At 34.5% G+C, this 23,130-nt stretch overlaps 1 protein-coding gene across 22 annotated transcripts in view, besides 1 other annotated feature; it reads right to left on the reverse strand.

The window, feature by feature from the left end:
• PRDM5 (PR/SET domain 5) overlaps positions 1-23,130 on the reverse strand; it is a 238,436-nt gene that overhangs the window by 77,447 nt on the left and 137,859 nt on the right. For all 22 annotated transcript variants that reach the window (XR_938678.2, XR_938680.3, XR_938679.2 and 19 more), the window contains 2 exons: positions 19,406-19,566; positions 15,451-15,544 (listed from right to left, as the gene is read on the reverse strand). Coding sequence is in view for 19 of the 22 variants with exons in the window: in XM_047449558.1 (XP_047305514.1) it covers positions 15,451-15,544; positions 19,406-19,566 (255 nt within the window). In the remaining 3 variants the exon portion in view is untranslated. The remainder of the gene's footprint in view (positions 1-15,450; positions 15,545-19,405; positions 19,567-23,130) is intronic.
• Positions 16,533-16,702: an enhancer, noted in NCBI's record as "experimental_72556 CRE fragment used in MPRA reporter constructs". NCBI's record gives its function as "activates a minimal promoter by MPRAs in K562 erythroleukemia cells, with activity observed for both the introgressed and non-introgressed 4:121699510 variant alleles {active_cell/tissue: K562}" and the evidence as "EXISTENCE:reporter gene assay evidence [ECO:0000049][PMID:34662402]".

The raw sequence follows: 23,130 nt of genomic DNA on the forward strand, positions 1-23,130 counted from the left end.
CTTGCAAATCACTTTAATCTTGATAATCTTAAATTAGAACATGGATCTAATTTAAGAAGTGAACCTGACCACTCTAGCAGAGGCACAGAAATCAAATTTTTGTTCATGCTACTAAATACACTGAATTAATATGTTAATAATGACCATGATCAAACTTGAAGATTAAAAAATGCAAAATTTTGAAGATGATAAATTATGTGTCATGTATATATTACCACAATTTTTTAAAAAAGTGTACAGCCAATGTGCCCTATGCTTTGAACATTTTATAAACAAGCAGCAAAGCTTAATATGTAATATACATATATTTAATTATCTGGATTAATATAAAAAGACCATTTTCAATAAGCATTTTAATAACGTTAACTTGTCATTTAATATATTTCAAAAACCAACGTAGATTTCAAAGAACTCATAATTCCTTGAAAATATGAAAAGATGTACACACAGAAAATGTAATTTAAAATGGAATAAAGTCAAACTCATTTATTTTCAATGAATCCAAATTAAATAATGTTTAAAGATTTTGGAAGCATAGCTTTACTTCTTACTTTGAGTTTTCTAACAAAAATCAGTTTTAGAGATGGCAACACTTTCAAGTGAAAAAGCAAACCTCAAAAGTGTATGTTTCATGAAAAATACCTGATATCGTTCCACATGGTTGAACTTTAAAATATATGTATTATATGGGAATTCTTTAGAAGAACTTTACATTTTTTTCCATGAATATCAGGGGACTGGCTTATTTTGCTTTTGTAGACTAGGAAATGGTTACAAAACAGCAAACTGAATCATTCTAGGTGAAAATTAAACCAAAAATGTAATTGTGAAAGCACCACCCAATTACTTTTCCAATCTCACCCTTCCAATCCCTTCAATTTATGGAGTTTCTAATAAATTAGAAGTACACCATAGAGAGAAGTGAAATGCTACACTGACAAATAGGAGTAGCTCAAGTTCATTCTTGGCATCTTTCTGTAATTGAAATACTTTTTTTCCCCGCAGCAAAAAGAGCCATGAAACCCCACCGACCTCACGGAACCCCACCTTGTTACTCTTGGAATGTTCCCATTAATCAAATTCTGAGGAATCTCACTTAACCTAAACAAGTTAAACCCAAGGACACCATCTTTGAAAGAAGGACAACAAAAACCTGAACTTGACATTACTCCTTGAATATTTTAGAGATCCTCTACTTTTAAAAGCTTAACAGAGTTTACAGTTGTAAGAAAGTGGGCAATAAAATGTAAAAATCAAATAAGAGAACCCTTACTTATCAAAACAATTTTATCATCTGATTCAAAACAAATGGAGTCTGGTTTTCAAAATCTATTTCTTTAAACGATGCTTTATTTTCCTTAAGAATCTTACAGTTACAGTATCCCTCCCTCATTTCTGAAGAGATGCCAACTCAAAGGACATGAGGTTCATTGGGAAGAAGGAAAAAAACAGGACAGCCACGTGCTCACGAACTTTTCAGTCGGAAATCATAAAAAGCCAGATTGGGTGGATTTACTGAGGGTGAAACAAAAAGTGAATTTTACTGATGCAAATTTTTTTAAAAAAGAATACGAGATGCAGAATGAAAAGAGGTGAGTTAATGAAGCAAAAGTAAAAGATTCCCTACTCAGGATGCTCTTGCTTCAGCCAACCAGGAGCATAAATTACCCTCATTACATGTGACTTGTCTAAGGGAGCAAGACGACAGACAATAAAGGGTCTTGATGTGAGTGCTGGCAAAAGCAAGGGGACTGTTCCACAAACAGCAGAAAGATCTGAACAATCCAGACACTGGCCAAGTTTTCAAGGTTCCCATCCACAAACAAAAACTCTTCCATGAGTGTTCCACACTGCTATGGTAGGGAACAATTTAAGTCAAGGAAGAAATGTTCTTTATCATTGATGTGGTTTTGTTGTTAGGGAGTCAGAATTTGGTGAGAAAATTATTAATCATTTCACCCAGTAGTTTTCTATTTTTAGGAATTTCTACCAAAGTTTTATTTAACCCAATATTTATGAGTATAGTTGGTGAACCGTGGTCATGGAGTAACTAAGCAGTTAAACCTTAGGTGCCTGCACAAAGAGGAGTTTCCTATAAATAGTGCCAGCAAGGAAGTATCAAGAGTATATAACGTTGAGTAGCAAGAAACCCATAAAATTATTGTCTCTCCCATAAAACTAGAGAAGATTAAAAAAAAAAAACAGCTAGAGAAGATATAAAACCTTCCCCAGCCTAGAAGCATAGTGCCGATTTGCAGAAAAACAACACAGAGAGTTATTCTTGGTGGAAAAATGGTAGCAACAGCAGAAGAAAGCACAAATTAGGGGAAATCAAATCTCCTTTTATTTTCCAAAGGAAAAATGTTGGTGATGCAAGTTTAATAGAGGTATGCTATTATCTAATAATTTACCAATAGATAAAGCTGTTCAAACAGTTGATGTAAACTGTGGCCTAGGCCATATCCATTTTTGAGGACTCCAGTATATAAAAAAAAGAAGAAATGATAAAAATATGAACTACGTAAATGACAGTATATTTTAAATGATCTATCTTATTAGTCTCTGTGATGATATTATTAATTCATTTGGTTATTGTTCATAGCATTATATTCCAGGACAAATGTCACTCTCTCACTTTTCACTCTGTGCCCCTTAATCCAACCTATGACAAACTTTGACATAGCACTATAATTTTTACATTAGAAAATTAGGGCCTCTGATATTTTTGAAGAAAGAAAAAATAGATAATCATATTACTAATGAAAGCCAAAATGAATGTCTGTCTCTTAAGTTGTTAGATATACTTGTCATTAACCCAAAATCAACTGAGTAGGAGCTGAGTATAGAAAAAAAAAACAGTGGAAGAAAGGGTACATTCCATTGATGTGGTTGTGGATCTGAAATTATTTAAAGTGTCAACATAACACTGAGACATCTAAAAACATGCAGTTCAAGACTTTGCTTATAAGAAAATTCCATTCAAACATTTCTTGGGGAAAACCTGAAGCTTTTGAAGTGTGATGCTAAGGAAATCATTTATTTCTATGTCAATTCTACTCAACGTTTCTGTTAACTCTTAGATTATCTGCAGGTAAGAGAATATTTGATTTGGTTTAATGTTAGTAATGAGACAGAAAATAAATATAGCAAAATAAGTTCTCTCTCAACATATGGAGGTCATCTAATTCTTATTAAAAATGTGCTAAAATGTTGTTTTAAAATGTTTACATTTTCGTTTGTGTTTATAATTCAGTAATCATCTAATTTTTTAATAATTTTATTATTGCTCTATAATTACTTATAATTATTTAAAGCTATTGTTTTTATAATGTTGGACAAATATTCTAAAAAGAATAAATTATTTCCTTTAAAAAAGCATTCAAGGAAAAAGAAAAACAGTGGCTAAAATCCAAATACGATCAAATAATAATATACTGATTTTTTATATCTAAGCTGATCACAGGTATTTATCCAAAAAATTACATGTTTCCTAAGACAGTGATTTATTACTATATTCAAATAACAATGTGTAAGCAAGCCTAGAACAGAAGGGCCTACACAGTCGGTATCTATTAACACAGAAAGCTGGTTGGAACTGTAGGCAAGTAATTAACCTTCTGGCCCAGAGCTTTAAAAACCCAAAAGCAGTTCCTAGAATTTCTTCCATAATTTATGAACAACTGATGGAATTCATGTCACAGTCCGTGGATTCCCTTGCTGAATTAACCTCAGCTCTCACTGACCCTAAGAAGCTATAAACCAACAGGAGACTGTGCTCTACTATTTCAGCTGACCCACAGAGTGCCATCTCTGTTGTTTCAGCATAGGAAGCCGGATGATAAATTACAGAGCTGCCCGCCAGGCACAATCCTGAACATTCCCCTTCAATGAAGATGACAGCAACACACTGTACATGCACATTCACTCACCCTAAACCAGCCCTGTTTGACAGCAAATCCTCATCTACATTCTATAGATGATCTATATTCTGTAGCTAAAGTTTATGAAAAGATAAGCATAATGACACTGGGAATAGAGGGTCAAACAGTGTATCAAGGGAGTATGAATACCTGTGACTAAATACAGAAACAAACACATCAGCAATGTTAGCAGCAATAGCTCACAGTATCACATGCTTACATTGTGCAGGCACTGTGCAAAGTTATTTATATCTTCATTTGTTCCTCAAAACAACACTATGCAGTTGGGACTTTTTTTTTTCTTTCTTTTTTTTTTTTTTTAGACAGAGTTTCACTCTATCGCCCAGGCTGGAGTGCAATGGCACGATCTCAGCTCACTGCAACCTCCACCACCTGGGTTCAAGCGATTCTCCTGCCTCAGCCTCATGAGTAGCTGGGATTGCAGGTGTGCACCACCACGCCCAGCTAATTTTTGTATTTTTAGTAGAGATAGGGTTTCACCACGTTGGCCAGACTGGTTTCGAACACCTGACCTCAGGTGATCCCCTGCCTCGGCCTCCCAAAGTGCTGGGATTACAGGCATGAGCCACCACACCCAGCTGGGACTATTATTATTCCATTTATCAGAGATGAGGAAACCAAGCTTCAAGGAAATTAGCCAACTCATTAATGTTCATTCAAGAAGGAAATAAATAGAATGGAGTTTGAAGCCCATAATCTGACTCCAGAATCAATACTCTGGATATAAAGGTGGCATTAAATAACAATGTATTACAAATACTAATTTTACGGTAGCAAAGTTTCTCCATAGCTGGAGTTAAGTTCTCAGTTGACCATAGGTAACAAACTATAGTTTCTATGTTAAAGTTATCTTCAATTGGTTGATATATCAACAAGAAAATATTGTCAAACATGATGAAAGGAGTGTATGTAGTTCTATGGTATGTTCAAGAGTAACAGCAGGGGTCAGGGGGTATGTCAAAGAATAAGAAATAAAAATATCAGCAATGTGATATATTGGAAAAAGTTTAAGCCTCGGTTTAGTTCTAGCTGAACCACATACAAGTTTTATGACCTTAGGCAAATCATTGCACTTTGCTTGGCATTATTTCAAATAAGAGGCTTGAACTAGATTTCTGAAACCCTTTCTATTCTAAAGTCAAGAATATTATTTTTTATTCTAAAAAAGCAGATGCCTTGTGCACACTTGCCACATTCTCATTCTAATTACCAAACTGTGCAGAATGAATGGACTTTAGAAGGTGGATACAAGATTTATAAAAAATAACATTTTCAAGGTTAATGGAAAAAACAAAGTCTTGTCAGACTACAGAATGGTGGTAATGCGAACAAGGGGGAAGAAGGAGGATGCAGAGCGGAACGAAGGGGAAGCAAGGATACAACCAGTTGGTTATTTAAGGTAGTGAAGGATAAAATCAATCATAAAATGAAGGAATTGAAGGATGTTTTTAATTTTAGGCACTATCAACAAAAAATAAAAACATAAATACTAAAATTCCTCCCACGACTAACAGGTAATAATCCAATAGCTAATTTATCACTGTCTTGTAGAATGACCGTTAGTCATGAGCCAATTAACAAAAACACTTGTTTTAAAAAAAAAATAATATGTATGAAGGAGACTGCCTTTAATGTTCCATAAAAGAATACTGTCACTGTACTGGACAGGAAATGTTGAAAAACGCCAACTGGCAAATTGGAAGGAAAAACCATAAACTGGAGTCTTATTTCCTCTTCATAAAACTGAGTGTTATTTGATATCATAAAAAAGAAATTTGATTTCCGAAATTGTTGATGGACAGTTTGAATACTATAAAAACAAAGTTAAACTGACACCTTCAGGCATACTTGGTATGGGATTAAAAGACTAACTCCATAAAAATCTCATCACATTGCAGTATATTCAAAGGTCCAACTGCCAATTAGTAACCATTTCCTAGAAATAAAAAAAGGGAAATTTAGTAAATATAACTTAATCATTATTTCCTCTGTATGTTACTGCCCACTATAAAGCTGACTAGCAGAAAATGAACAAGTGAATGTGTGATATGGTCTGGCTGTGTCCCCACCCAAATCACAAATTGTAGCTCCCATAATTCCCATGTGTCATGGGAGGGACCCGGTGGGAAATAATTGAATCACAGGGTGATCTTTGCTGTGCTGTTCTTGTGATAGTGAGCGAGTGTCACAAAATCTGATGGCTTTATAAAGGGGAGTTCCCCTGCACATGCTCTGTTGCCTGCCGCCATGTAAAATGTGACTTTGCTCCTCCTTTGCCTTCTGCCATGATTGTGAGGCCTCCCCAACCATGTGGAACTGTGAGTCCGTTAAACCTCTTTCCTCTATAAGTTACCCAGTCTTGGGTATATCTTTAATAGCAGGGTGAGAACAGACTAAAACAATGTGAAAAGATCAATCAATAAATAAAAACATCATTTGGCTCTAAAGCATAAAACTTTCACAGTACTAAAATGATATAAGACTTTTATTTCCTCATCTTTTATACTGGGGGACTTACAGAATTTCTGTAATTCTTGTGGTAATTATAATAGCTATATAGAAAAAAAAGAGATAACTTAAAACAGAATTTGAAGTCAAAAGACCTGTGTTTTATTATTTTGATAGTGAATAGGTCATTTGCTTCTCTGAATCCGTGCTTCCTCATCTAGAAAATGAGAATGGTCCTAGAAATGGCTGAATCCTTTCAATGGCCGTGAAAGGATTAATTTAGATACTATATTTGAGAGAACGTTCCTCTTTCAACAAATTTAAAGATTAAAGAGGTGAGTCTGATCTGCCCTGTCCTTCAGCTTAGAATCTAGTCATGGGAAACTGATAAGCAAAGTACAGTGTAATATAGCTGAAAATAGGTATTTATATATAATAAACAATGAGAGCCCCCAGATCTCTACTAGATGAGATTTGCTACACAACTGCAAAAGACTATAATGTACTACATAATTGTTTGTAATTATTCCAGCTCCAATAGCACAGACTCACCCTTGTCAAACAAAACAGATAGAGCATTTGTCAGGACCAATTTCCTCTACGTTCTTTCTAATGAGAAACTTTAAAAACTAGGAAACTCCAAGCTGAAATCAAACAGTAAGTTTGGTGCTGGTTGACCACATGTTGTTCTTTATTCCCTCATTTAAGCACTGTAAGTTTATAGGCACTAGTGAGTTAGATCTTGAACCATGTTATTAATGATCATTTGTTATACAGTTTGTTTTCCCACCAATTACATGACAAAGCAACAGGATAAAAAATGGAAAGGGAAGCAAATATGGGTGGGTCCAGCTCATAGATTGGGAAGTGTAGCATTTTCTTCTTTAATGCCAGCACTTCTCAAAGTGAATGTTACGGATTTTTGTATGTAGTATGTGAAAAAATAATTTTATGGTCAACTAAATTTGTATTCAAATCTGGAACTTCTCACTCTGAACCCATGCATCCTTTTTACTATCATACAGGTAATGCAACCCACTTGTAAGTTATTTTATCTATTGAATAAGCATTCACAAGTTCTCTTTCTAAGCCAGGCAGTGTGCTGAATGGTAAAAAGTAAGGTATCAGTTATGGGCATGGCCCTAAGAAAACTGAGGACCCACAGACTACTGAAGATGGCCACAGGTGCAGGCAATCAGAAGTGGGCAGTGCTGAGGAGGGTAAAGGAGCATGGATATGCTGACCTAACAAGGCAGGGGTAGGGGACAGGTCAGGGAACACGTCAAGGAGAAAGTAACACGTAATTGGAGACTGGAGAAAAGCGAAAGAAGGCCAGTAAGCAGCCTGGAATGTAAACAGTGAGGGGTCGGTAGTTGATAAGTCTCATGAGAAAAGTCTAGGGCATTCATTTTGTACAAGGCAAGGGGAAGCCACTGAAAGGTTTTAAGTAGGATAATAAAATGACCCAGTGAGCCTTTTTATCAATTGTTTAAACCTTCTTTTCTAAGGCTTACAAATACTTTCCAATGCATTTCAAAGAAAATGTCTGAAAAACCCATGAGAACAGCAAATTTTGTGGGATTCCTTTTTCAAGGAGATAAATCTAGCATCCTTAAGAAGGATGAAGCATGAAATAATGACATTCAGCTTCTTCAGAAGACTGCTTCTCTAAGCAGTATAACTGAAAGAAAACAAAAACAAAACAACAAAACGTCTGTTTATATTTAGGGAATAGAAGTCTTCCTGTTGAAAGAATCAGGCTCTGGTGGAGATGTGCACAAGACTTAAGCTATGAAGCTAGATGTTAAAGTAACAATTCTCTGGTCCACTTAAGTGGCAGCTGCATCTACACGGTTGCTCTCATTGGAATAAAATATCCCTATTTATTTATTTATTTGTTTGTTTGTTTGTTTGTTTATTTTTTGAGGTGGAGTCTCGTTCTGTCGCCCAGGTTGGAGTGCAGTGGCGTGATCTTGGTTCACTGCAACCTCCGCCTTCCAGGTCCAAGTGATTCTCCCACCTCAGCCTCCCAAGTAGCTGGGATTACAGGCACCCATCACCAAGGCTAATTTTTGTATTTTTAGTAGAGACGGGGTTTCGCCATGTTGGCCAGGCTGGTCTCAAACTCCTGACCTCAGGTGATCTGCCCACCTCAACCTCCCAAAGTGCTGAGATTACAGGCGTGAGCCACCGCACCCGACCCCTATTTATTTTTAAATATGAAAATTTCAAACATGAGGAAATGTTGGAAGAATAGTACAGTGGACACTGTATAAACTCACTTAGGTTTAATATTTATTAACATTTCACCAAATTTGCTTTCTCCTTCTCATTTCTCTTTTTTTTTTTTTTAATGGGAGAAAAGGCAAACAAATTTATTTGATCATAGTTTTACGTGACATGGGAGCCTTCAGAATGAAGATCCACAGATGCAGGGGAAACAGTTCAATTGTATGCTTAGGTTCAAGAAAGTATGGACAGCTGTTTTAAAATATGATTGGACAAAAAGGTTGTGTCCAGCCTGGACAGAGCAAGACTATGTCTCAGAAAAAAAAATTAGATAATTTCTCTTTTTTAACATGTATTTTTATATGCACTTCTTCCTGGTCCATTTGAGAATAAGATGCAGAGAAGTTTCACACCTAAGTATTTTAGCACAAATCTTATAATAACAGTTACCTGCACAATCATGATATACACACTAAATATTTGTATTATTCAAGAGAAATTATTATAAAAATTAGAAAACAGAAAATCATAAAGAAAATTAAAACCAAACATATTTATAACATATAGAAATAAAAGCAGTTAATAATTTAGTAGATAACTTTTCAATTATTTAAATACAAATGCTTTATTCTTACAAAAATATATCCTTCTGTTTTTGTAACATCTTTCTCATTTCTTTTCATGTTATTTAGTATATATCCATATCACTTTTGTTACCTATATAATATTCCAATTTATGGATATACCATGAATTATGAGTTCTTTTAATGTTAAATATGTAGGATCTTTTCCAATTTTTTGCCATTATAAACAGTTTTTCAAGGGACATAACAATGTTCTTTTTATAAAACAAACATTATTGCCCGCAACCTCTCTTCAGACTTAGGAATCAAGCATACTTTGGATTTATGCCTAATAAATAAGGCAGTGTAAATATTAAAAGCCTAGGATAAGTTTTATATGGCAAGGAGAACAATTTATTAAGCGTATTTTGGAGGTTACTATGATTTAATTTCAAGGAAAAAATTGGTGGGACATACACAGTTCAGAATTTTAAATACCACCAAAAATATTTTTTCAACTGAGTTATCATTTAAACATGTATTAAAAAGAATGCTTAGCCTTCTTTTAAAAAAAGTCTTAGTTAATCAGAAACATAGCCATCTAAAATGCATTTTCCCCAAATTAATATATTAAGAAAATTCCATGATTTTAAGTATGCCAAACACCATGATATTAATTCCTTATCAATAGTCAACCAAGATTATATCTACGAAACTAAGTTATGAAAATTTCAACACGTTCAACAATTTAAGATCTTGATAAAGCTGGAAGAAATAAAAGGGAAAGGTATTGAACATGAAAATTCTCAATATGATGTCCTGTAAATAAACGTAAGAAGAAAAGTAGAAAATAATATAGGAGGTTATGTCATTCAGTAAAGGCTTGCCACGGTATATTAATAAACACAATTCATTTAACTTTGGAAAAGTACTCTTAACAAGGAGTGATATTATAGAAGAATTTTAGAAATTATACTTATGACAATGAACTGGCCATCTACTATGAACTAGCACTGAGTATTTTACATACATGATTTCATTTATTCTTCACAAAAATGTACAATGTAAAATGGGACTTAGAGACATGAAGAAATTAGCTCAAAAGTATATGACTAGCTAGTGGCAGGGGGCTAGGGTTTGAACTCAAGCCAGCTGTCCCAAAGCCCCTGCTCTTTCCATTATGCAAGACTGACTCCTATGGCAGAGGAGGGTATAACAGGAAACACCCTGAGACCTGTTTCTACTAATCACGGCAACTCTCTAGGCGGGAAAAGTTATTTAATCTCATGAGAACTCAGAGTCCCCTGAACCCTGACTACAAAATTTCAAATATCAGCAAAAACCTTACTGATAGGATGATCTTTTATCAAATTTCTATCTTTTGCTATCTGCAGGCAAGTTTTGGAGTTGAGTTCTAGACTATATCTACAAGTAAGCCCAAATTTAGAAAGCCTTAATGTTTTCCTATTTACAGTCATAAACATAATATCAGCCCAACAGTGAACAGTTCCTATGCAAAAGTAGAGTCAAAGCTGGCAGACCTACTCATCAACTGACTTTTGCAGCAAAGGCAATGCCAATGGACATTAACGTTGCAGCGGCGGCAGCAGCAGTGGCAAAAGCTTGAAAATTTACTATGAAGAATGCTGCAGCAATAGTTGGAAGCAATACCAGTCTGAGAAATCAAGACGGAAATGGCCCCAGTTAAACAGAATGGCCTCTGTCAGCCGGGCTCTTATTTACATGAGCCAACACATATTTCACATGAATTGCTTTTCCCTAGGTATTTATCATTGGCCAGGGGGCCCTTCAAGAGTATTTGTTCCCTAAATATGGCCTGAGTACTCCTGGGAATCACCAAGACTCTTTACAACGTCTGCAAGGTCAAAACTACTTTCATAATATTACTATTACATTATTTGTCTTTTTCACCATGTTGACATTTACACTAATGGTATAAAAGTAATGGTGAGTAAAACTGGTAACTGCTAGTGACTTCAATTTGTAATACTAGTCACTGTAGCCTTCACAGCCACAAAATCATGGTACATATAAATGGCAGTTTCACTTGAGAACATCTGTGATAAAGTAAAACATATTAATTTTATTAAGTTCTAACCTTTGTGTATAATCTTTTTAATATTTGGAAATTAAGCTGAAAGCACTTGTAACGCATGCTGATGTATGAAAGTTGTCTCAAGGAAAAGCACTTGTGTGATTGAGTTGCAAGCTGACCTGGCAGTTTTTTTCATGAAACATCATTTTTATATGAAACAAAATGACTGACAGACAAATTATGGTTATTAAACATTTTGTGAACATTTGTTCTTTGCATATAAAAGAAGTGAGCCTGTCATTGAAAAAAATAAAGAAAAAAGGAAATGATAGGAATTGTTAGGAAATATAGGAATTATAGCAGTCAAACAAAATTTAGAATGCTCCCAAGTGCTTGAAGGCTTCTGAATATTTAGGCTATTTAATGAGATCAGCTATGATATTAACATATCATCCCCTGAATAAGATAAAACGTTCTTCCTCTAAGTAAAGTAAACATAAAAGATCTGCATAACTTAGTGAGCCAATATTTTCCAAGTTACCTGTAACATGATGATGTTACAGAATCACGCATGGGTAAAAGATCATTCGAAGTGCAACACAGTCCAACTGATTTTACTGTCACAGAATAGGCAAAGCTCACTGAGATAATTTTAGGTTCCACACAACAATAAGCCTTTAAAAACACTAGCCCTTTTTGAGTTTTAGTGTAGTAATAATGTCCAAGGTAATATCATCCACTGTAATAACACCCAAAATTATTTAACAACTATTAAAATACTTTCCCCTTCTAACTACATATCTGTGAGGCCAGATTTTCTTCAAATTCTGCAATCAAAAGAACATATTGCAGCAGGATGAGTGAAGAAACAGATACGAGAATCCAGCTGTCTCCTCTTAAACCACAGACTTTCAGAAATGTAAAACAACTTCTCTTTTCACACTAAATGATTTCTAGTTTAGCAAATGCAGGTATTTTCTATAAAAATATGTATGCTAACATGTAATGGGTAATATTGTTACTTTTAGTAAATTAACAAGTAAACATTTTTAAATTTTCTAATATGGTAAACAGCTTTAATTTCTAATATGGCAAATAGTTATAGATATAACCCACATAAATAAAAGCTTTCCAGAATCCTCGATTATTTTTAAGAATGGTATGGAGTGATGAGGCCACAACATGAGCATCAGTGATCCAAAGAACACTGCTCCACAGAGGAGCTGTCCTCTTCTGACTGTCCCCACCCTGCCTTCACTCATGGTCCTCGCCACTTCATTGTGTCCTCCCTAAATAATGTACAACTAAATACTTCTTGACGAATAGGTCGTGACTGTCACCTTGCTCATGTGATAGCACACCCATAAATTGCTACACCTAGCACTGAAAAACAGCTGAATAAAACCAGGTGACTTCATAAGGAAAAGTAACACAGGGAGAAGAAAACACTGAATTTACAGAATCAAAACATTCGGAGCTCCGCTATCATACTAGTGAAATAACTGCATAAAACCATGTGATTACTGAACCAGGCTGTAGCCTGGGAGGGCAAATGGATGCTTATCATTTGAGGGACAGGACAAAGCAAATAAAAGGGAAGCGAAAGCATCATTTGTCCATGCAGGAAAACAAATTTGTGCCAGGGCCGTTATGGAGGCCCAGATGCCAGCCACCAACCACTTCCAACACAACCCCAGCCACACTGCTAGACAGTGGTCACTGAGGGCATAGGCTTGACATCAAAATAACCCAAAGAAGAACTGTAAAATGAGAAAGTATGGTAAGTTTTATTTTAAACAGAAAAATCTGGTTAGAAGTAAATAACTAGATAGACAATTAGAATTAGAGTTTCTGTGTGGACACACAAACACATACACCACTTTCTCCTTCTCTGTCTCTCTCTCTCTCTCTTTCTATATATATATATATATATGTATATGTATATGTATATATATGTATATGTATATATGTGTGTGTATATGTATATGTATATATGTGTGTGTATATGTATATGTGTATATATATATACACAAACACATATATATATAATTTCTTTATCTATCAATCAAATTGTATGTGTTAGTTCATTGTGCCTTACCACTGCTGTCTGAATTTAGATAACCAGTTCTCTTGATCAGAAGCCAAATTTAATAGGCCAGAATCTGTACAACAATTTGGCCCAGACTCGTGTATACAATAAATAACCAAATGATACATAAAGTGATTTGGAGTGTAGAATACACTTTAAATTATACATAATATAGAACATAAGACAACAAAAACCATGACATATATTTAATAATTTTATCAGAGAGAATTCTTGGAACTCTAAAAATCCTCTTATTATTGTAATTTTATGGAGGATAATACTAATTAAAATTTTAGAAGCAATTACTAGTGTAAGTGCTTTATTCTTCTCCACTGCCTAGCCATACTATGAGTAAAATAAAATGTAGGCATACAATATCCTCAAGGATGGAATTATTTTGAATAATCAAGGGTTCTACTGGATTGGGTTCATCTTTTCTGTGCTGGTAGCTATGTCTTAATGCATTCTGAACAATGTAAGTCCCTACCTTTTAAAAACACACTATACCAAACATAACACAATTACATCATGTCTTGGGGCATTACCATAAACTGACTATTCTGATATGTACATATAATACATGTTTCCTATTCTCTACTTGCCCTCCTCTCATACACAAATTATATGTACATGCACACTAATACAGCATGATATCTGCTAAGCAAACTAAGTCTAAGTATGGCACAAAGATATCTTCTAAGAATTACTGATATCAGAGTGAAGGGCTGTTGATTTCACCCTTGCCCTTACTCCATCCTAACTCCATACAGCCACAAATACACATAAAAGAGGGCTGCCCAGTGACATCAAAGATTACACCACTAGACTGCAGTGCTAGCCAGGAACTTCAAAACTTTCTGTTCCCTCTTCATTAGTTCCTTACTTATGTACCATCAGTACCTGGTGCCACCGGCCGTTGGCACAATTTTAAGTACACCTGCCCTCAACATGGTTCTCTGCTTCTCATTCCCATGTGCTGCCCTCTGCTTTTCATTTTGGGGCTCTCTGCTTCTGCAACACTTGATCCTAAAAGCCTCACTTTCTCTAGATGACTTCTAATTAAGAAAAATCTTCCTTTTCTTCTTTAGAGCACCCATTATTCCACAGCTATCTGTTCTTGGTTATGTGTTTCATTTAAAAGTATTTAAGTACCTATTCTAAGATAACAAATACTAAGCTGACCATATGTCTTTAAGTTTTAGTCAGAAAATTAAAAATTATGCTCCAAGGGTGTCCCTTCCTCCACCTATATCTAATATTCACTGTATTGATTCTTTGGCCTACTTTAACATTTCTCCATTGACAATACAGTTATTGTGCTAGACATTGAGCTAGGTACTGGGGATACAAAGGTAAAGAAAGTCATATACTACGGCCCTTGAAGAGGAAGCTTCAGCTGTATAATCCAGTCACATAGTTATCCATGTAATTAGAGTCTAGGTACTGAAAAAAGTTTTCAGACTAATGTAAAATCATCTGGCTATCAATATTAATAGTATTCTTTCAAGTCTTTTTCAAGGGCTTATCTATGTGATAGGTAGAATCCAGACAAGGTTTTTGAAGTATATTTAGTTGTTCATTCACCCTTCACTAGGGCACAGCTTTCTTTCATTGGAGAAATTACACAGGAAGTGCTAAGAAAAGAAGGGGATCTTTAGGAAGTAACCTGTGGCATAACAGATATTACATTCACATCACCCACTCTGGTATCCAATAAAATCCTACAGCATTCAAGCAACATTCCAAGGTAAAAAGGCCACATTTGACATGGGTTACAGGAAGGATTATAAATCAAGTTGATGCCCTTAACTATCTATAAAAAGTAAAACTGTTATTCTCTAATTCCATCCATTAGAATCATATAGATGTTAATCACAGTTATATCACAACCAAACATTAAAAACATTATTTCCACTTTAGATGTTTTACTTAGTTTAAGAAAATATACTCATTCCAAATTCTTCTAGATGAAAAAACTGGGTTGTACAATGCTTTAAGAGAGAGAAAACAGCCAAGATTAATTCTTAATCTGGAAGATATTTGTATTATTACAATATTTCCTGTCTTGGAAGCATGTGATTTCTCTAAGTGGTTTTTTCACTAGTCTAATTACAATCTCCATACCTGTGTGGCTCCGGATATGAACTCTGAGTGTACCACTGCTGGCAAATTTCTGGCCACAATATGGACAGATTTTCTCCTTTTCTCCTGTATGTGTCTAAAAGGAAAGGGATAAAAAGGCTAAGGATAAATACAAAGAATTAGGTAAAGATGATTAAATGCCTCTGACAATAGTAAATCCTTATTTTGTAGGATTACATTTCATTAAAATGATTTAATTTCACAATGAGATTTTAAACAATTTATGATGGATATTCCCACTGGCTCAAAAAAATGTGCCTTAGAATCATGCATTAGTGTTAATTTCAAAATCATTCTGCAGTTTACTTTTTTAAGCCCTCATGGAGCCCCAACTAAAAATGATTAAATTATACAAACCAGTATATTCTAGCAAAAGCACATAATCAAAATAGGGCTATAGCTACCCTTCCCAGCTGCCAAGAAACACTTCATTTGAAGCATTTTTCACATTCTTTGTGTATATTTAACTCTTGAGGACAGAATTAATCTTAATAAAGTCATCTATTACTTGTGTTATGATGTTTGACTAGACTGGTTTTACTGCAAAGCAAAAAGGAATATAAATCTGATTTGACCTTTAAAATCACCAGGTGGTAACTGAGCAGTCAATTTGAAAGCATATTTCTGCCCTCAACATGCCTTTAATCTAGGCATAAACAATCACATGAGGAAAGGTGAATAAGTATAGTTAAAAGCAAGTTTCGATAAATGCTGGAGAGTTCAAAGAGAAAGGAGTGACCCCTCCCCAAAAGAGGAGGGAGACAGAGCATTTTAAACTGGCCCTACAGTCTCATTAGGAGACCAGTTTTGCTCCCAACATAAAAACAGATAATTCCAATAAATGAAGGGTCAGAGCTATTTCTCAAGTCCCAGTGTTTCTCAAACTTAAGAGATTGGAGAAAAGGGGAGGTGAAAGCAATTCCTTCAGGTATGTACACATCCTTTCTAAGACTACTTTTAGAATTTTTTTTCAATGTAACCTAAAAATTAATAAAAGTATTAATGTTATCATCTAGGTTACAATCATCTAGGTTATAATCACAAAACAGAGCTTCCAGGGCCTGTGTTTGCCTTTGTTGTTAAGAACAAATTACTGACAAGTGGTATTTGAACTGACATAGACAAATGAAAAAAGAATAGAAAAAGGTTTTTTTAAATGACATTTCTCAGAAGACAACACTGGCTGTCATAGAGAAAAAGGGGTGGGGCAATTACCTCATCACCTGACAACATCAAAGAACCATCACCATAGCAAAACATTTTCATCTTCCATATTAACTTGTTAACATTAACATAATTGACTTTGCAGCCTTATTATTTAATTAGCGAATTTGCATTTTGGTATTAAAATGTGTATTTGGATATGTACTATCATATTTATAATTTTTAAAGAGCTATAAACTAAAGACCTTAGTCAGTATCAGTGTCTTTTGATTTTTTTTCCTTGAAACAATTTATATTATACTCGAGTTTGAAAAACACAATCGAATCAACTACCATGCTAGCCAACAACACTGTGTAAAACAAGCATCTCCTGGATTTTGTATTTGGCAAGCACTTAACTTTCCATTTTTACTACAAGCTGATATACAAAATAGTTATTTATCTTTACATTTCAGTAAGAGCCTTTACTCCCCAGGTCCACATTATGGTTCAATCTAAAGTAAAATATATAACATTTTAACTTATAACAGACCTCTCTTCTTTCCATTCCCTGACAGAAGGGGCAAAATATGCCAATTTGTGTTTCATTATTGTTTAGAAATTATATATACATATCTATTGTTATAGCACTGAATTATTCCAAACAGATAATTACTAATTTATTTGTAATTTATTTATAAAATCACAGCATTTCTTTTGCTGCTATGTATTTCATTGTTCATTTATATGACTGCCATTGGTTCCAAACTGAAGAAGTTCCAAACTAAAGGATATTAGGGTTATATTAATGAAAAAAATTAAAATATTCCTTTCACTTAACTCAAAAATATATCTATTATTAGGTTCCAATTTTGGTTAGCTAGTTTCAAAAGACATTAAAGGTATAATACTAAACTACCTTAAATATGAACAAGAAAGCATGGAAACAGCTCACTTTAAGAATACTGAATAAATTTATGAGATTAAAATGAGCAACACACTATGAATATACTGTGTGACTATTATTGCAGACAAAGTAATCTCTCTTGAAAGCTCACTATACTTTTCCTTTATTTATTGAAAGTCAACAAAAAATGTGTTAAATTCATGCAAAAAGTAATTAAAGCAAAGAAAGTTGAAAGACTAGTTTATTCAGAGAGCTAAAAACACCAGATAATATCATTATTACTCAGCATTAAAAATACAGGAACCCATATGCCCTAGATGTGATTATTATACACTGAATACCTGTATCAAAATACAATATCTCAGGCTGGGCACAGTGACTTATGCCTACAATCCCAGAACTTTGGGAACCCAAGGCGGGCACATCATTTGAGGTCAAGAGTTCAAGGCCAGCCTGGCCAGCATGGTGAAACTCCGTCTCTACTAAAAATACAAAAAATTAGCCAGGCGTGGTAGCAGGCACCTATAATCCCAGCTACTTGGGAGTTTGAGGCTCAAGAATTGCTTGAACCCAGGAGGCACAGGTTGTGGAGAGCGGAGAGCCGAGATGGCACCACTGCACTCCAGCCTGGGTGACAGAGTGAGACTCTGACTCAAACAAACAAACAAACAAACAAACAATATATATATATAATATCTCCTGTATATAACTATATCTACTATGTACCCATAAAAATTAAATATTAAAAAAATACAGGAAAAGAAAGTTACTCAATTCAATCCTTTTGAAACAGTTGTATTAAGGACAGATAAGATAGATAGATACTGAAACAGGAGTTATTTCTTCACATTCATTCAGTATCACACACTAATGGCAGAAAACTACCATACTTCATGGTTACTTCTAAAGTTAACACTGCCTGAGTGCAGTGTCTCATGCCTGTAATTCCAGCACTTTCAGAGGAGGATAGCTTGAGCCCAGGAGTTCAAGACCATCCTGGGCAACATAGCAAGACCCTATCTCTACAAAAATTTTAAAAAATTATCTGGGCATGGTGAGACATGACTAGTCTCAGCTACTCGGGAGGTTTCAACAGGAGGATCACTTGAGCCCAGGTGTTCAAGGATACAGTAAGCTATGATGACACCACTGCACTACAGCCTGGGCAACAGAGCGAGACTCTGTCTCCAAAATAAGGAAAAAAGTCAACATTAAAACCTTTAAGTGTATTTGTTACAATACAAATTTTACTATTTAAAATATATACTTTAAAACGCATTATTGAGCACGTAAAAAATAAACTTGATTCCCTTGAGGTAATGACCCAAGTAGCATAAGACACACACAAAAAAATCTCCAAATCACTATATGAACATTTTCTTTGAGTTAAGCAAGTATTTATCGAGTCCCCATTCTGTACCAGAAACTTCCCTATGCTCTAGAGAGGTAAAGATCAAAGCCTATCCCAATAACAAAAGGGTTCAGTCTATTAACTTGCCAATAAACATAAGAATTCACTTTGAAATATAAAATTATTAAAGTACTACTCATATTTCTTAGAAAGAAACAGCCTACATTAATTCAAAAATATATAAAAATTGATAAGCTCCTGCTCATTGAGTACTTTTTAGAAGCCATCTATCAGCAAAGCTATGGGTTATGAAGAGTCTACATCTAACTCAGGTTCTCATTCATGGAAAAAAATAGGTCTATCCTGAAAGATGAAGAAAGTGAACATTGTCTGAAGAGCTGATATAAATCATGCATTTGTCATTTTGAGTAAATATTTTGATAGATTAATATATAATTATCACATGTTAGTTAACATATATACCCATACTGCTTAAACACGTAATCTGTTCAAACTAACAGAAGACTTCCACTTACTTTCTTATGACTTCTAAGCACTGAAGGTGTAACAAAGGCCTTATTACATAGCTCACACCTATACTTCTTGTGTCTTTCATGAACCACCTGGACATGAACATTTAATGTATCCTTCCTCTTAAAGGTAGCATCGCAGTGATGGCACTTGAAAGTCCTCTCACCTTAGAAACAAAGAGAAACATTTAAGAAGCAATAGCAGGGTCCTATTAATTTCCTCCCATGTATGCCAGACTTAGTTGCTTTCTCCAAAATGTTGGCTTTGTAGCTCTAAGAATGTTAACTTTTTATTTTTTACAACAAATTCCAGTTCCATTATTTGCTAATTCACTGTGTGACTAGGCAGAAGTCCTTTCATCTTACATCTTCAGTCTTCTCAACTGGAAAACGTGGGGACTGAATTAGCAGAATTCTCAAAGTTACCATGAACATTTTTTAAAAGTATGTACTTCTACAGCGGGGGCTGGGATTTGAGGTAAATAGACTCCAGTGACACAAGACCTCTGTCAAGCAAGGTGAGTTGCCTTTGGGCCCCTCCCAAAGTTCCCTCAAATCCCACCACGGTCCCTATAACCTCCTGTGAATAGATAATAGGCAGAATTGGATTGTAGGTAGAGAGCTGAGGAGGAAAGCCTCTGAGGGCAGAGGGTGTGCATCAGAGCTCAGGCCCTCCCATTCTGGGAGAGGGAAAGTTACAATGCCCCTGCTTCCTGGACTGGAGGCTCCCTGATTCAGCCCTTGGGCAGTTGGAAAAAGTCTCCAAGGCTTTGAGGGATGGGGTCTTTCAGAGAGGAATTAAATTGGGATAGCAAGACTATTAGCCACCCTGGGTATTTCACTTTCTTCTCATTATCCAGCCTGGGGCTGAGGGGAAAGCAACCTCAGAAAACATATATAGAAATCTTATGGTACTTTCTAACTTTCATATAATGCTATTTTTATAGTTCTTCTTAACACATGGGCCTAAGTTTTAGTGGCCATTTTAAATACAATTTCAGCAATGAATGTGTGCAATGAGAACACGATGTTTAATAACAATACGGTATAAAATGTATGTAGTATGTGACTATATAAATAAGACAGACTAGTATTTGAATATAATTTCCCTTTTTAGAAAACAATCATATTAACATAGATTCCCATATCATATTGATAACAAGGCAAAATTAAGAATAATTAAATTTCTATATCTAAATAAGAGATTATCTCAATTTTAGCCAAGCTCTTCTAAATTCCTTCCATCATAACTAGCACTAAATTTAGAAATATGAAGACTCTATTATTTCTTCACATGAAAGGAAGGAAGAAAGGAAGGAAGGGAGGGAGGGACAAAAAGAAGGAGAAAAGGAAAAGAAAAATTACCTTCTCTTTGTCTTTCTAAATAGAATTATCCCTCTCTAACTTAAAGTCTCTTAGAGTCCTTTTGAAATTTAATGTCTGAAACAAAGTCACGTCCATACAATGCATGAACTATGTGGATTCTGAGAGCTTGGTTTTTTGTGTGTTTTTGTTGCAGAGTATTATTCTTATACACTATCTTTATACTTTCTGTTTTATTTAAACATTCTGTTTGTATAAGTTGTATAATCAGTGATAGCATAAGGAAATATCAATTGATAAAAGACTGTAAACATTAATGTTAATATCAAATCGATTCAGGTACTGAAAGAGATCTTTTTAAAAAAACCTCTAAGATTGTTCCTATCAAAGCATTTTCATTAAACTATCAAGTGAATAAAAATGTTGGTCCCTGTACAAAATCTCATCAAGCTATAGCAAGGAAGTTCTTACCTTCCTTCTTTCATACTTTAATTGCAGATTTCTTTGTGTTAAATTTATCAGATTTTTTCCCTATCTTAGTACCTACAAGCTAGCCAGCAACTTGCCTTTTGGTTTTCAACATATTGGGAAATAGCAACAATTTCCAAAATCATTACAAGTTATTCTTCACATTTTGAGCCAGAAAGCTGATGTAAGTTTCTAACAACAGCTTTCATATTTTAAAGTTAAATAAATGGGTTTTAATTTTCATATTGCATAAGACGTAGTATTTTGTCCTCCCTATTTTAGCCATTTCTGGTTTTCCCATTCTTTTCACTAACTGATATCTAACTTTATTTCCCTAAAATAACTCATTTACTCACTCAGTTATCAAAGTTGATTTTCCTGGCCAAATGTCACGATGCATCTTCATAAAGCCTGTGATTAATGTGCTGATCAACATCATATTAAATACATACTCCACAGCACAGTCTACACATAGTCACTTTAATCCTATTTCTCAAGTGAATGAGAACAAAAAAACTGAAAGCAAAGGTGGTAGATTACTTCTGTTAAGAATTCCTTGCTGTTATTAGAAATAAAATTTCATCATTCCCAAGCAAAATTTCCCAAGCATCAAGTCAAATTTAGCCATATTTCAATAGTATGAATGAGGTTTACTTGTCCAAATCTCTATTCTAACATTCATTCATCTCATAACAGTTATTTTTCTAAATCAAACTGGTAATGAACTATAATAGAAATTCCTGCAATTGCACAACAAATTTTATTTTTAAACACATAATTCTTTTTAATAAGAAAACTGGTAAGTTGTGCTAATAACTTCTTTAGACCTGTAAGCTGAATGCAGAATGACCTGAGAGCATAACACTGCCTTTTTTTACAGGAAGCAGATTGCATTTCATCAGAATCATTACCACTCAATACTTATTTTAAGAAATCTTAGTATCTTTATTATTTGGCATTTTAAACACTTGACCAGAGGAAAATTCTCCAAGATACTGCCTCTGTATAACCAACTGTCAAAATTAATTACTTTTTTCTTTCCTCAGGAATATTAAAAGTTTAAGCAGCAGTAGGAACTTCATGTGTATAGAGGATTTTCTACTGATTAAGCTAATTAACTTAAAAGTAAGAAGTGTAAATATTACCCATGGTACACAATTTTTCCATTAATTTTAGATATAGTACTGTAGTAAGTTTCTGGCTACTTCAGCATCTAAACAGAGAATCCACTTTAAAACTCAGCTTGGCAATAACATGTTCTTCTCAATGAAGGGATATCCTTTAGTGATATAACTGGACATTCTGTGGTGTTGTAAAAAGAGCTCTAAGTGTAGGCGTTAGACTTTCATGGTGCGTATGTATGAAACTTAATCAGAAAGAAAAAGAATGTGACTGCAAAAAGAAGAAATCTGAGACAGTAGCAAGTAGGAAACGCACCTCATGGTGTGTATGTATAAAATTAATCCAAAAGAAAAAAATTGCCTCTGACAAAAGAAGAAATCTCAGGCAGTGGTAAGTAGGAAAAGCACCTATCAGGGACCTGTTTGCTACTCCTTGCGCTGTGAAATCTTGAGTATGTCATGGTGCTTTGGAGCCTCAATATTTTGTATCCTCCTCAAATTAAGGTGTCCGATTAGATGTGCACTCTGATCCTTTACAACTTGAAAAGTTTGTGAGCTCATAAAACGATGCCAGATATCTGCATATTTTAAAGAGTCTGACACGTTTTCTTAATCATTATATTTGAAAGGAAACAAAATCATGTGTCAAAACAAAACTCAAAGATGTCTTCCTGAATATGGAAAATGCTTTTATATAGAAACTTTAAATAATGGGAAGAAATTATAGAAAATAAAATATCTCATAAAATAATTAATATTACTGTGGAAAAATAAAGCAAATATAAAGCGAAAAAAAGTGAAAGGCAGAATTTTCGGTCT

The sequence above is a fragment of the Homo sapiens genome, chromosome 4, assembly GCF_000001405.40.
Source record: "Homo sapiens chromosome 4, GRCh38.p14 Primary Assembly".
Lineage (NCBI taxonomy): Eukaryota > Metazoa > Chordata > Mammalia > Primates > Hominidae > Homo > Homo sapiens.